Source organism: Homo sapiens, chromosome 21 (assembly GCF_000001405.40).
Source record: "Homo sapiens chromosome 21, GRCh38.p14 Primary Assembly".
In the NCBI taxonomy this organism is placed as follows: domain Eukaryota; kingdom Metazoa; phylum Chordata; class Mammalia; order Primates; family Hominidae; genus Homo; species Homo sapiens.
The window spans coordinates 28,096,719-28,112,965 of NC_000021.9; the positions used below are offsets into that span (position 1 = coordinate 28,096,719).

The window sequence follows — 16,247 nt, forward strand, 5'->3', positions numbered from 1 at the left end:
TATTTGTAAAATATTAAGCCTACTAATAATGTCATCACCATTATTATTTTAAACAAAATAGGAGACTTGTGCAAAGACCACTCTCATCTAAAAGCCATGACCCAACTACCAATATGATTTTCTTTAAAAAAGAAATAAGAATGCTTTTACACTGTTGGTGACAGTGTAAATTAATTCAACCATTGTAGAAGACAGTGTGGTGATTCCTGAAGGATCTAGAACTAGAAATACCATTTGACCCAGCAATCCCATTACTGGGTATATACCCAAAGGATTATAAATCATTCTTCTATAAAGACACATGCACGTGTATGTTTATCGCAGCACTATTTACAATAGCAAAGACTTGGAACCAACCCTAATGCCCATCAATGATAGACTAGATAAAGAAAATGTGGCACATATACACCACAGAATACTATGCAGCCATAAAAAAGAGTGAGTTCATGTCCTTTGCCGGGACATGGATGAAGCTGGAAACCACCATTCTCAGCAAACCAACACAGGAACAGAAAACCAAACACTGAATGTTCTCACTCATAAGTGGGAGTTGAACAATGAGAACACATGGACACAAGGAGGCGAACAACACACACCAGGGCCTGTCAGGGGGTGGGCGGCAAGGACAGGGATAGCATTAGGAGAAATACCTAATGCATGTGGGGTTTAAAACCTTGATGACTGGTTGATAGATGCAGCAAACTCCCATGGCACATGTATACCTACGTAACAAACCTGCACATTCTGCACATGTATCCTGGAACTCAGAGTAAAAAAAAAATTTTTTAAAAAGGACTTTGCTCTGCTTAGAAATGGGAATAATTATGACAGAACAATATTAATGGAAAACACATGGTAGATATGAATGAACACTGTGAAACGTTAGGAAGCAGGGAATGAAAAATTGCCTCCTTGACAATAGTAAAATTTCAACATGATCCCTGAGAACCATCAGATTTTTAAATAGCATTTTCTCCCCGCTACCCTGCATAGGGTTTGAGTTTCTAGCAGGCTCCTAGGCGATGCGAGTGCTGATGCACGAGGTCACACTTTCAATAGCAAGAGTACAGGCACCACTTAAAGTAACAATTCACATAGATCTGTTTATGACTTAAAAGTTAATAAAAGTGTTCTATAGGAATGCTAGGAAAGAAAGAAAGAAAATTCTAAAGAAAAAAATAATAATTCCTATAGTCTTCAAAGTCTGAAATAATCATTCCCATATGGAGGCATTTCCTTCCAATTATTTTTGTTTGTATATAGTTAACTAATAGTTACCTATTTTGACATCTAACTTTGTTACTTAAGAAACCATGGGCATTTTCCCCATGTAAATATTTTTTTCATAAAACACCTTAAGGCCAACAGAATATTTGGCCATTTAGTTATACCATAACTTATTAGCCCAGTTTCTCTCCTGTGAAATATTTCGATTATTTCCAGTGTCTTATTAGTATAAATAATATGTGGGTAAATAATTTTAAAATTTCTGATTATTTTCTTATAAAAGGTTTTCTAAGAGTTGGATTACTTTGTCAAAGGATATGAATGGTTTAACACTCTTGAATTATATTGCATATGCTGAGTCTATCTCAGCATTATTGTTTTAAAAATATGCTTGTCAGTTGAATAAATGTAAACTAGTATTTTCACTTAGTTTATTTTATTACTAACATGCTTTTATCCATTTCAATGGCTCCTGTCCTGAGAACCAATTTATGTCTACCAAATTGTTTCTTATTTTAACTCAATAATCATGTTAGAGTTCCTTTTATATTAAACATAAATTCCTTACAAGTATTTTCCATTTTTGTCTTTTTTATTTATTTAATTTTTTTAATTTAATTTTTGTGTGTGTGTGTGACGGAGTTTCGTTCTTGTTGCTCAGGCTGGAGTGCAAAGGTCCAATCTCGTCTCACAGCAACCTCCACCTCCTGGGTTCAAGCAATTCTCCTGCTTCAGCCTCCCGAGTAGCAGGAATTACAGGCATGTGCCACCACACCCAGCTACTTTTGTATTTTCAGTAGAGACTGGGTTTCTCCATGTTGGTCAGGCTGGTCTCAAACTCCTGATCTCAGGTGATCCATCCGCCTTGGCCTCCCAAAGTGCTGGGATTACAGGCGTGAACCACTGGTCCGGGCCTTATTTATGTTTCTACCATGAAGAAAGTTTTGATTTTCACAGTGTTTTATATGTAGAAAGTCATTGCAAATTCAAAGCTGATTTTGTTATTTTATCTTAGATTATTGTGGTTTAAATTTTTTAAGTATGTAATCTAACTGTAATTGATCTTATTCATGTGTAGTTTGGACCTCATTTGATTTTGTTTCCAAGGTAAATTTTCAAACACATTTTGTTTAATAAGAAATATCTGCCTCATGAGTTTTGATGATTCTTAAATCATATATTAAAAATTTAGGAAAGCAGAAGTTGTCTCCGGACATTCTAATGGCTTTCACAATACATCTATAAATCATTGCGATGACAGGACACATTTAATTATGTCTAAAATATCTGGGGGTACACTTCTTTAATTCCAACTTTTCTTCATCTACTTTATAACTTTAAAATAAAAAAGGATCATTCTTTCAGATGAATAACCATATTATGTTAAAAGTTAAGAGTCTCCTCAAGACTATGAGTGGCTTTAATGTCATATTTAAACGTCATGTGAGTTTCCTATTGCTATGTAATTAATTACTACAACGTTAGCAGCTCATAGGTCCCAAGTCCAGCACAGTGTGGTTGGGCTCACTGTTCAGGCTGAAGTCAACGTGACAGCAGGCTGTGTTGCTATCTGGTGTGAGGATTCTTTTCCAAGTTCATTTCTGTTCTTGGCAGAATCAGTTCCTTGCAGCTGTCACACTAAAATCCTCTGTCGTTTTTTTTTTTTTTTTTTTTTTTTTTGCTGGCTGCCTACCATAAGTGTAAATTAATCTAGGAAAAAATAGGACACTTTAATAATATTTAGACCTTCATTAACTAGCTTAAGCAAAATTCAATATATTCCAAATTTTATATATATATACACACACACATATATATATTCATAATTCTTATAATCATGTTTGTACAGGTCTTTTATGTGTGCTGTACAGATTTGCTTATATTTTGCATTTGATTTGTGTACAGATATTTTAGTCTAAGTCATCAGTTATAAGAAAACTTCAGCATTTTCTCTCTTTCTTCTTATTCTCCTAATGCCTATCTGAAACCTTTTGGTAATTCATTTGTTTTTAGTTAGCTATCTTTAGTTTTCTAATATTAATTAAAATGTCCTGAAATAGTTATTTGTTTGCAATACTTAAACATAATTAAATTTCATAATGTAAAATATTAAAATATTAATATTATTAATATATTTAATAAATTTAATTAACTATAATAATAGTTATATTTTATAACCATCACATAATTATATTTACCAATGGCTACTGATTTCATATAGTTTTTCTTAACCATATTTCAAAAACTAACTTTCTAGTCCTACTTAAACCATTTTTTTCTTATGTTCTGCTTTGCTTTTTAATAGAAATGAGTATCTTTTTTTTACTTTCGACATCCATTGAAATGATCTTATAGGTTTTCCTTTAGAATTATTGGTGTTATAGTAGCAATTAATTTTCTAAAATTTAAAGCAAAAATAATAAAATGAACACTGTTTAAGTGTATAGTTGGATGCATTATGACAAATGCATAGATTTTTATACCCACTACACATTAAGCCTTTGTATACAATCCCCACTCTGTCATCCCAGCACCAGCAAACCAGAGATCTACTCTTAAATATCCTATGAATGGAATCACACTATATGTACTGTCTTGTGAATGTCGTCTCTCTGTCCACATAATGCTAATGAGATTCATCCACGCAGTCGCATGCATGGGTAGTTCATTCTTTTTCAATAGGAAGCATTATTCCACAATCTGCTTATTAACTCTCCTGCTGATAAACATTAGGGTTATTTACTGTCTTTTACTACGTTGTGTAAAGCTTCTAGGCAGCATCTTGTTCATGTCCTTGCGTGGAATTACATGGCTGTAGAGCAGGCATATGTTTAACCTTTCAAGAAATGGATTAATCTTCCAAAAGTAATTGTACCACTTTATACTCCCACAAGCAATGTATGAACGTTCCAGCTGCTCCACTTCCTAGCCAACACTTGGGATTGATAGTTGTTTTAATTTTAGGCATTCAAATGGGCATAGAATGATAGTTCAGGTTGCTTTGTAAGTATATTAGGGAAGCATCCAACTTACACTCGATGAGGTCAAGTAAGAATTTCTAAAGAAAAGAATATGTAAGAAGAATACTCAAACTGAAAGAAAACAATCTATTAATGTGTGATTCTTACTTAGCCATAGTGAATAGCTCTTCAGACATTTTTATTAAACTTGTTTTGGCACTATTTTGATTAGAAGTTTGCAGACTGGGTCTTTTGATTGTGCCAGTGTGTGCTTTTTAATGTGTCTATGTATGTTTACGTGGGTATTTAGACTTATGATAACTTCAAAAATGTATTTGATAACTTTCCATTTTTTTGCAGAAATATTCTTTCATTAATATTACATGCTTATGGAACTTTACCTATTGATTAAAGGTGAATATTAATATTATTTATATAATAAATTATAAAATATAATATGTATATTATAAATATTAATATAATATTCATAATAAATCAAATGGCATTTTATTATTATTTAAACAATACATTATTTTAAATAATATATTTAAATAAAACATTATTTTTAATATTTAAATAAAACATTATTTTAAATAATATATTTAAATAAAACATTATTTTAAATAATATATTTAAATAAAACATTATTTTAAATAATATATTTAAATAAACAACATATTTCAATACAATATGTAATATTATTTTTAAATGATAATTGAGGCTCATAAAATTAGGCAGAATAATAATTCTAGCAGTAGAAGGGCTTCAGTTTTTATTGATTTATGAGATAAAATCTTATATCCTTGTATATAAACTGTGGATGGAACACATCAAGACTTAAGCTCAAGTAAACTGTCAGTCACCAGTATAAAAAAAATGCTACTACGTATTGTGTTGTAGAATCTATAGCATACTTTATAATAGCTGCAAACCTATATTATTTCAGGTTCTCATACTACAGCCCAAAGTATCCTAGGGGAAACTTTTGTGACCCCATTACTTTCCACTCCCAAAGGATATTTGCTAAAATGATAATGATGATGATGATGATGACGATGATGATGATGACGACAATGATTTGAACTTAATAGCTTTAGATTGACTTAATCTAAAAGTATTTCATAACATTATTTTACTGATTTGGCCAGGACAAACTTTCATTTTGCCTCCCAGTAGTCTTCAGCAATTCAGAATATAGGATAGATTGTTGCCCAGATATGTTGTAGTCAAGACTGATTTAAATCTTTATAACATCTGATTGTATGAAATTAAATAAAAGCTTCCCCCAGACCCTAAAAGATCATTTTAGTAAACGGTGTAACTTTGGTGTCAGCATATGTAGTTATGCAATAAAGAGAACAAATTATAATTCCATAATCTCTCTCCGGAGTTAGGTGAATAACCACATCTGTGGTATAGGGAATGGAAAGATTACTTTCAATCTATTCTAAAGAAACTCTGCTCTAAAATATATCAAGCAAAAGTAAAATAAATTAATAGTTGATTATCATTCATTCAATAAAGCTGGTGTATAATTAGCAATCTACCTGAAATTTCCCCGAGGCATATTCTATGTGTTGCTGTTAGCATTATAAAAGTGTTACAATAAAGGATGCTGAAAAGAAATTTTCTTCCTTCTTTTAGACATCTACCCCTGGAGAAAGAGCCCAATGAGAAGTAATCTCTGAAGCCCAGATTTCCTAAGGATGAAGCTTCAGGAGAGGCCTTATCAATCCTGACAACAAACTTTTCTCGTCAATTTAGTTTCATTTAATGGAAGTTTTAAATGTGTAAAGTTCAGAAGGCTATTAAAATTGGTTCCAGCTATCTAAGATACACACACAACCACACACGCGCACACACGGTAGAGATAAATATGTTCGAAAATCCAGCTCAATGTTACTAGAAAATTTGATCAGAATCTGGTGAAATAAATAGTAAACTTACTAAAAATGCCAAATATCCCAGAAGCTGCTTAACATTTGATCAAAAGCTCTGTCCAGTCAATTCCTGCTTCTTTCAAAAATACTCTGCTGAAAAGCCAAAGGAGAAATGGGGCTGGTACCTTCAATATAGAGAATTCCAAGTAAGATTAGATCCCAGAAGGCTTAGTGTGGCTTTCTAGGACTCTCACTATTAGGCAGTAACCTACCATTCACCTCTGTTTCCCAGATTCACCTTGTTATACCTTATAACTTAAAATATAAATTCCAACAATGTACTGCACTCAAAAAAATTATTTCTCAATTTGTTTGCTCATACTATTGATTTTTTTCTAGAATCTAAATAATTGTGAATTAACTATGATAGCAGTATGCACAAACAGTAAGTGAAATCAGACCTATTAATTCTGAGAGGAAGGAGGTGTCAGGATTTTCACAGAAGAAGAGCACTAAGGCCAGGCGCAGTGGCTCATGCCTGTAATCCCAGCACTTTGGGAGGCTGAGGCAGGCGGATCAGGAGGTCAGGAGTTCTAGACCAGCCAGACAAACATGGTGAAACCCCGTCTCTACTAAAAATACAAAAATTACACGCCTGTAATCCCAGCTACTCAGGAGGCTGAGGCAGAAGAATCGCTTAAACCCGGGAGGCGGAGGTTGCAGTGAGCTGAGATCGCGCGACTGCACTCCAGCTTGGGCGACAGAGCAAGACTCCATCAAAAAAAAAAAAAAAAAAAAAAAAGCAAAGCACTAAATCTCGTATGTGAAAGATGAGTAGATTTTTCCTAACAGGAGCAATAAAAATTAGAGCTAAAAATAATTTCATGAAGCAAAATATTCAAAGAAGATGAAGAATGAATAAAGACAATTGATCTGGTAATTCACAAGCCAAGCTTCAGTAAGTGGTAGGATAGACGCTGATTTTTAAGTGTAAAATGAGCAAATTATGCTGAATAAAGAAAATTATTTAAAAATTGTCAAGAAATAACTAGAGACCCAGGGAAGACAATTTTCATTTTAAGGCTTAATAATGTTTGCAGACTGAAGGAAAAGATGCAGTGGAGGATGAGAGACCTTAGCAGGGGATTAAAATAGTGGAGCATTTTTGTGGCAATGCCATTCAATAAGAAGACAGCATTGGAAAGAAGAGAGACATTTATTCCTCCTAGGTAGGAAGCAAAAAGTAGAAATTTGTAAAGAAAAAAGTATTGGGAGATAAAGAAGAATCACAGGTGTAATCCTGAACATCCTAAATCAAAATTATTGTTTATGTATTTCTCCTTCCAGAAATGAAACTTGTAATAGACGATCTGTGGCTTAATAACCTTCTATCTCCAGCACCTGACGTATGGCAGGTCTCTCAATATATAATTAAGATATGGATCTATGGAGGTACAATAATTCTTGTTATATGAATCACTATTCCTGAAGTTGGAGTATATTGGCTCATCTGGGAATAGGGAAATTGGCAGTTAGTTGAGAGACCATTGGAACACCTGCTGAAAGAAACGTGATAATGATTCAAGGGGAGGAAAAAAAAAAAAAAGAAAACCAAGTGAGGAATGACCACAATAACACTAACTTGAAGTGGATGCAGTCGGCATATTTTTGAAAATGTTTTAAATCAACAACTTCTATTTGGAGAGCAGATGTAATTACACCAGACAGCAGAGATAATAAATAAATATCAGTGCAGTCACAGTGGTGTGGCCGGAGTATCAGTGCCTCGGTTGCTATGGGCAGCAGAAGACACAGATGCCTCTGGCATCCTAGCTGGCAATGAAGAAAAATAAACACAGAATTAGGCTTCAGGTTAGAGAATAACAGAATAATAGAGGTTAGGATTTAGACAGAAAAAAACAGGCTTGCTGGAGTTATGGAAGTGGGAGAGACGAAACAAGTGAAAAAGAACTTCTCTTCTTGTAATTTCTCATGTTCAAGGAAAGGAAATGTCAGCATTCAAAATTGCAGAGAATGAGAAAACAAATGTGATGATTTTGATCAAGGTCATGTTTATGCCGGTGATTAACAGATAAAATGAAGAGTCCTTGGCATCATAGGAGGGACTCTGAGCCAGAGTGCTAAAAGGACCATCTACTTAAATGATGGAGTTCATAATAAGATTGGAGTGGAGAAAAATTATGAAGCAAGTACTCAGAAAATGAGAATGTTAGGAGGTTACAGGTTGATGGCTTTAAGGATGGAGAGAATATACGTTATGATAAACATAAAAAAGTGGATGGTGGAACAAAAGTTGCCTGAAATTGGCAGCTGTGAGTAATTAATCTTTAACATCTCTTCCTTACTTAAGTAGAAAAAGGGCCTCCATCAAAATGGTAGTGAGAATTTTATCCATCAGAGACAACACACTTTCAGTTGCAGATGAGACATGGAAAATATTCTCACACAAAATGTGGTCAAGAAAAGGAGTAATAGTACTTATTTTTCTAATTGAATACATAATAATATTAATATACATTATCTGTAAATATTCATATTGATCATGGGAGAGGTAATCAGAATATATAATATTGACAGCTGAATTGAAATTAATATATTTTTCTAAAAAAATGAGATTATGGGTAATGAACCAATATTGGCTAGGTGAAAATTGTCTAGTTTTTACAACTAGAAATGCTTCCTCTCAAACACTTATCAAAATCACAGGTGTATTTTAGGCTGCTATATTTGCCAAATGAAAACAGGATACTGACATTCATACACACAAACATGCAAGCATATGCTGAAATTTTCATTCCAGATGTCTACAAAAGAGAACAGATAATACGAAGTTCGTTACCTATTTCAAGTTACCTCTGAGATTCCTTACGCTGAAGACAAATATTCTATTAAAAAAGAGTCCTTAAATAGGCCATAAGAACCCGAATCCTTTCATAAAGAGTGAAAGAGTATGGTTATTTTTGATAACAATTATTATCAAAATAAATTATTTTTACTTCTAAATTAGTACTGATTACATCTGAAGGTTTTTGTTTCTCTGATACCAGGATTTAAAATTATTTCAGAAAGCATGATTAGTTTTAGTGTCTGTAGATCTTTGCTGTCAGTGAATTAAAGTATTTTTGAAAAAGGAATATGTATTCCTGAAAAGTGATCTATACTTTATAGAAAATTACCTATTTGTGTAAATATAGGAAAACAGCTCTAACATTAAAATATGTGCATCAATTGGATTCAGAGTGTTGCATGAGGTTTCAACTTTAAAGAAGTATTTATAACATTTGGAGAAACAAAATTAACAAGAAAAAGTAAAACCAAAATATTAAAAATAAAGGTAATATTCCTCATCAGAAAATAAGAAAAAAATACCAACAATTGTGGTAATACCAAAGTGATTTTAAAAATACATTTTTTTTTTTTGTTCATTGGTTGTCTTGTTCAATTCAGTCAAACATAAGCCAACAAGATAAGACTCCACATAGATCTTTTTAAGTTACCAAGTGTTGTGTGTGCCGCTCTAACTGTCCATGGTTTCTGTTTTTTCTACTAAAATTCTAGCATACTAAATTCTGTATGGTATTTTTTCTAGCATTATCTCTGGAAAATTAGACCAGTGACTAATACAATTACTCTTTTAGTTTTCATAGATTTGACTATATGTCTGAGCCTGGAGTTGTTTGCGTTTATTCTATTTCGGAGTCACTCAGTTTCCTGAGTCTATAGATTAGTTTTTCACCAAATTTGGGAAGTTTTCAGTCATTATTTCCTCAAGTAATTGTTAAGCCCCATATCCTTTTTCCTCTCATTCTAGGACTGCAGTGACACAAACATTAACTATGTCATTATTGCTCCAGAAGTCTTTGAGGCTCAGTTTTTTTTTTTCTTATCTGTTTTCTCTCGTTGTTTAGATTGGGTAATCTCTACTAATCTACCTTAAATCTTACTGATCCTTTCCTCTGTCATTTCCATTTTGTGATTTTGTCCATATGCTGAGATTGCTATTTGGAATATTTTTACAGTACCTTGTTTAACATTCTTGCTCAATAATTTTAACATTTGTATCATCTTAGTGTTATAGTCTATTGATTGTCGTTTCTTACTTGATTTGAGATTCTCCTAGTCCTTAGTATGTCAAGTGACTTTGGACTATAATTTGGACACTACATGTATTATGACGTAAGACTAAAGTTATTACTTCGATCTTTTACTTAAGTGGGTATTCCACCTGTTTAGTTTCAAAATACATGTCCTAGCTCACTTTTGTTAGCTATTGTTCAAATTTCAATTTGGTTTCTAAATCCCCTGGAGTCCAGTATCCCCCAGTCACAGTTGTATGTGACTCAGGTGACAGGACTCTGCCCCACAATCTTCTCATCATGGACTGGGGAGACAGAGGAAAATTACTTCACTGCCACAGAGGATGGTGGAATTCAGAGTTCCAGGCACATGTCCATAGGGAAATGGCACTTACACATTAAAACTGGTCAGAAATGAATGGCAGAGTGACACCCACAGGCTTCAGTAGATAGCGGTGCCTCCTGATACTGGGATGGGGTGGAGAACAGGCTTACGCCCCATATCTCTGCAGGGATGGTGAGACTGCCTGAATACCATGGAAGAGGGAGATGGAAGTCTGAGCTGTGCACATAAGCTCCACTGGGGAGAGGTACAACCCAGTTACTGCAGAAGAAGGGAGAAAGTCAGAGGGGTCATAGTCTCTACGGGGAAGGAAGGCCATCTCATTCCTGCAGAAGGTGGGTAGATGTGAGTTCCACCCACAACCTCCATGGTGGGGGGATGCTACCTCCTTACTCCAGGAAGAGGGTGGAAGACAGGGTTCTATCCCCAGTCCCACAGTTATAGCACTCATTGAGGTGGAGATAGAACACATTTTTTTTCATAGTATTCCTCTTGAAGAAAGATAAGTATGGTTAAAATATTTCTGCTATGCTGGGTTACCCTTTTTCCTGGTACTTTCACTAGAGACAGATGATACAGAAGAGAAAGGGTGGGAGGGGGGGAGAGATATAGACCACAAAGAAAAATAGAAAGGTGAATAATTCCTGATAATATTAGATGAGGTTATTTATTAAGACCTACTTTACACATTTACTACAAGGTATAATTGACAAAAGGTAAAGATCATTTGTAATGAGAAACTTTCTGCCGCTTGTATAATACAGTGTCTGTACTTTCACCAATAGCTTCTCTATTTAACATTATGTGGTTCTAAATAATCTTTCAAAACACATACTAACCTGTTTCTCTGTAATATCATCTCACAGACAGATTTAAGGATAAGTTAAGTGTTTTAAAAATCTATTTATATTAAATTATATAAGAATGGAGGCAGGAAGACAGAGCTTGGAACATTATCTACAATTAGTGTCTTATATTGCCATGGTCAGAATGTTTGTGTCCTCCCCCAAATGTATATGTTGAAACCTAATTCCTAAATTTGATGGGGTTTAGGGAAGTGATTTGGTTATAAAGGTAGCAACTGTCATGAATGGAATTAGTGCCTTTATATGGGGCTGAAGATACCAGAGTTCTTCCCTTCTACTCTGTCAGGAGATAGCAACAAGCTGGCTATCTGCAACCCAGAAGAAGGCCTTCACCAAAACTCAACCATGCTGGCATTCTAATCTAGAACTTCCAGCCTCCAGAGCTGTGACAAATAAATTTCTATTATTTATAGGTCATCCAGTCTATGGCATTTTGTTATAACAGTCCAAACTGACTAAAACAACCACAAAGGCAGAAAATGCTAGTTTTCTACTAAATGGTCATAAAGAATTGAATAAGTGATCAAAAAAACATGAGACAGCTGTCTGTAAATTTCTGTACCCCCTTCCTCCATCGTAATAAAAATTTTTAGCTCTACATACAGATACAGGAAATAAAAAATACTTTCCAAATTTGCACCTGGGCATAGCCAAGCAACTAACACTTGCATTAGGATGTGGGTAATGGGTATGCATCTGCATTCCGGGAGATGCCCTTTGATAAGGTGTGCCATCCTTTTTTTCTCTTCCTCTTCTCACTTGTTCATATTGAACACTGAAGGGGCAGTATAGCATCTTGGGAAGCAGCAGAGTTACCATATAGACAAGTAGAGAAAACTTTTGACTTTGCAGAGTGGGGCTGTGTTGACTGCTTGACATTTTACAAAAGAGAAAAAATGAACTTCTATCATGTTAATTCTACTCACATTTGGGATTGTCTCGTGCTTAAACTCATAGCCGAACTAATACAGAAAGGAAGAGAGCATGAAGAAGTATAACATTTCTTACAGCTTCAGCCCAGTCTATCCATATGAGCAGCTGATAAGTCTATTGAATCATTTCATACCAAGTCACAGAAAAAAAAAAAGTGTTTTTCAATTGTTGTGTGGCAGTGGGGAGAGGTGGTAAGGGGGATATGTCACACTTCATTTGTTTTACAAGTATTTAAGAAATATGTCCACATATTTGATCCAATAGTGTATTTGAAGGAGAGTTAAATAATCAATATTTGAAATCCATCATTTCTTCTTGAGCATCTTATGTAATTCTAATAGTTTGCAAAATTGCTAAATATGAGTGAACTGATACAAAGGATTATCTTTTCTTAAACTAGATAAGTGATGATCCTAAGATGATCAATGTATGTCAGCATGGCTATTTCAAGGAAATTGTTTATGTTGATAAAAAGCTCAGACCTAAACCCAGCTTGAAGTCTTAAGTATTATTGAGATAATAAATGAAGAAATTCATCATTTAATGCATTTCATAACAAATAAAGGAAACTATTTTGCTTAATGGGTCTACTAAGTAAAATCCCACAGAAAGCTACATAGGACCTTGACATGTGATATCTGTTTATGGTAAAAAGAATGTAATAAATTAAAATCTGATGTGACTATATTCATGCTTTTTATACATTTATGAAATAAACTATAGTAAAAACCTAAATTTAAAAACCGTATTTCTAAAGTTAGATTTTTTAGTATTAAGTGTTGTCATGATATAATAAAGCTTCAATCAGTTTGATTTTTAAGTAGGTGTGAAAATTTAATATTATAAATTCATATCGGAATGAATTATTTATCCCCAGGGGGATCACACTCACATTGAAAAAAGAAGTTTTACTGTAATGTGGAATTACTTACTATTTTCTTCCGAATATGTTATAACCGTATTTGGCATGTTTCAAAGTTATATTTAATAAAGAAAATGCATGTTTCTATATATGCTGCTATGAATACAAAGTGCCTCAAAACTTACTGGCTTAAGACATCTCTATTTCCTAATGTTCCAATGTGTCAGGAACATAAGAAGGAATCAGCTGGACAGCTGTGCCCTGTAGTGTTAGCACCATTCACTCTCTCTCTTCACTTCACTGGAAGGTAGAAAAAGTTCACTCACATGTCTGGAGCCCATGTACTCCTTCATGTGTTCTCTTCCTCACCATCTGGGAAAATTGGGCTTCCTCACAAAATGGTGGTCACCTGGATCTCTTACATGACATCTGGCTTCCAAAAGGGAGTGTACCAACATAGGTGACACAAGAAGCTGCAAGCATCTTTAGGCCCAACCTTGAGAGGTACACAACGTCACTTCTGACCATTATATTGGTCAAAGTCAGTCTTCAGGCCTGTCCACATTCAAGGGGAATAGAAACCCCTTATTTCAATGAAAAGTGGCAAATAATTTGTGGCCATCTTTAGTCCATTATGCTATTTAGACCATATTTCTGATATGAAGTTAAACATATAAAGAAGCTACTACCTATATTTATAAATTAGAAAATGGAGAAGAAAAAGAACTTTCATTATAAAATTGTCTTGCCAATTTCTAGGCTCCTTTAAAAATATTGTCTATGAATAATATGAAAGTTTCAGAAAGCTGCTATTAGAATTTGAAGAGAATGCTGTAAGTATATGGTTTAAATAGTATCTTCCTACCAAAATGTCTTAAAAAGTGACGAGAGTAAGGAAGTTTATTGAACTAAGAAAAAGAAAAGCCTTAAAATAGATTGGCCAGTTTCTTCATTCATGCGATTATTTTTTCATTTATTCATTCATCCAACAAATATTTCTTGATATCCCATTGTGAGCCCAGGGATTTTGTTAGGCAAGGAGGCTGTAACAATGAAAAGAAAAATATTGTTTTGTTTTCTTAACTGTGCTTACAACTTAATGTTACAAATTACTCTAATGCATGAGATTATTCAGCTGAAGTTTTGATAATGTAAAACAACAAAATTCTTCGTATAATCTGTAAATGAATTGTATGTGAAAATCATTATATAAAACAATGAAATACAAATTCCTGGATGCATTTAGTTATTCAATCAAATAAGCATAATTTAAGATTTTGTTATATCCCTAGTGCATCCTAAATCTTCAGGCCAATGCGTAAACCATGTTTTCACAAAAACAGATGCCTCCCAGCACACAGGACAGCTACAGCTGCTCTGTAGCTCCACGTGGGACCGTCTTCTCTTTGCTTACCAGCCCATCCCCAGTTCCAAGAAAACATGAGCTTCTTAAAACAAAGTTGAAAATCTAGCGGCTTTCGAGTCAGCTGGCAGTGTTTCTGCATTTTTAAAGCAGGCTTGGATATCGGGGGCAGCTTAGTGTTCACTCTGTAACTGACCTCTCTGAGCCAAGTTCAGCGTGGTGTGAGTTATCAAACCTGACAGCCTTTTGGCAAGCCTTTGAAGGCTCTCAGGCCAGACTCCCTTCCAAGCTCAGCTGGGATCAATTAGGATAAATAATAGTTCCTGCAATTGTTAGTTTCTACCATGCTTTTTAAAAGTATTTAGTGTGCAATAATGCAATTTATGGCTTACCGGTACCACACTATCCATTCAAAACAAAATAAGATCAAATCGAAAGGTTAAAATGTCCTGAGAGTTGCAGAACGATACGCTGAGGAAAAAGTACCAGAGAGGCCAATATTTTGACCATTCTTTTCTCTCCACATTTATCTAAAACATAAGTAAACATAAATACAAAACTATAAGATTTCTTCAAAATCTGGATTCTCACCCCAACAGCAATATTTTGACAGTCTGGTTAAAACATAAACCATAAATACACACACATACACACACACACATACACAATCAAGGACTTTTAACTGCCCTCAGCAACCAAAGAGATCTGCTAGTAAACAATGCGGATTTTTACTTCTAGGGCAAAAAAATGAATTTAAGCTCAAGCTACTGGTGAATAGCAAACGGAAGGTACTCTATAGAAGCTAACAGAACAATAGCAAATGATAATTTTCTATAGCAAGAGTAATGCCATATTCAATAATGCTAATGTTCTGGCTTCATGTGAAACAAGTTTTGCTTTTACTGGGTGTTTCTCTTCATGTGGCCCAGGGCAAGGTATTGCAACTATTTCATGCTGAACTTTAAAACTCAACGGTTTGCGGCCGGGAGTGGTGGCTCACGCCTGTAATCTCAACACTTTGGGAGGCCGAGGAGGGCGGAATACGAGGTCAGGAGATTGAGACCTTCCTGGCTAACATGGTGAAACCCCGTCTCTACTAAAAATAAAAAAAAATTAGCTGGGCGTGGTGGCGGGTGCCTGTAGTTCCAGCTACTCGGGAGGCTGAGGCAGGAGAATGGCATGAACCCGGGAGGCAGAGCTTGCATCTCGCCACTGCACTCCAGCCTGGGCGACAGACCGAGACTCCGTCTCAAAAAAAAAAAAAAAAAAAAAACCAAAAAACACGCAACTGTTTCCAAGAGGTTTCTTTTTTGACCTCAGTTCTTCAGTTGCTACTGGAGTCATGAAACTCTCATGTCACTTCTTTAATGTAGGTTTGACTTCGGTCTGTCATAAAATGTTACTTCTTGTTTAAAACAATGTAAGTTAAAATGTTACTCTACATTTGCCTCGCGTTTTCTGCTTCACTTGGAGTCTTCTATTTTGGCCTCACATGCTTAAATTTTTTACAAGCAAGATTTATTGTTAATAGGAATGTCTGGGTTTTTGTTTCCTTTTTCATTCGGAGATAAAAAGTTATTTGAAGTCCTATTATAGAAAACTTTTACATAAGTCACAAGAATTAAGAATTTTTTTCCAGGTAGATTTTCCCATTAAATGAATATCTCTGTTAATTTAGAATGATAGTCAAAAATGGTATGAATACTGTGGATAAAA

General features: G+C 34.5%; 1 long non-coding RNA gene across 2 annotated transcripts in view; it reads left to right on the plus strand.

The window, feature by feature from the left end:
* LINC01697 (long intergenic non-protein coding RNA 1697) overlaps positions 1–16,247 on the plus strand; it is an 89,196-nt gene that overhangs the window by 48,305 nt on the left and 24,644 nt on the right. The window contains exons 2-3 of one of the 2 annotated variants that reach the window (NR_126011.1): positions 4,548–4,601; positions 5,832–6,546. This is a non-coding gene — a long non-coding RNA (long intergenic non-protein coding RNA 1697). Of the gene's footprint in view, positions 1–4,547; positions 4,602–5,831; positions 6,547–16,247 lie in introns of those variants that run through there. The other variant, NR_126010.1, reaches the window with a different exon arrangement.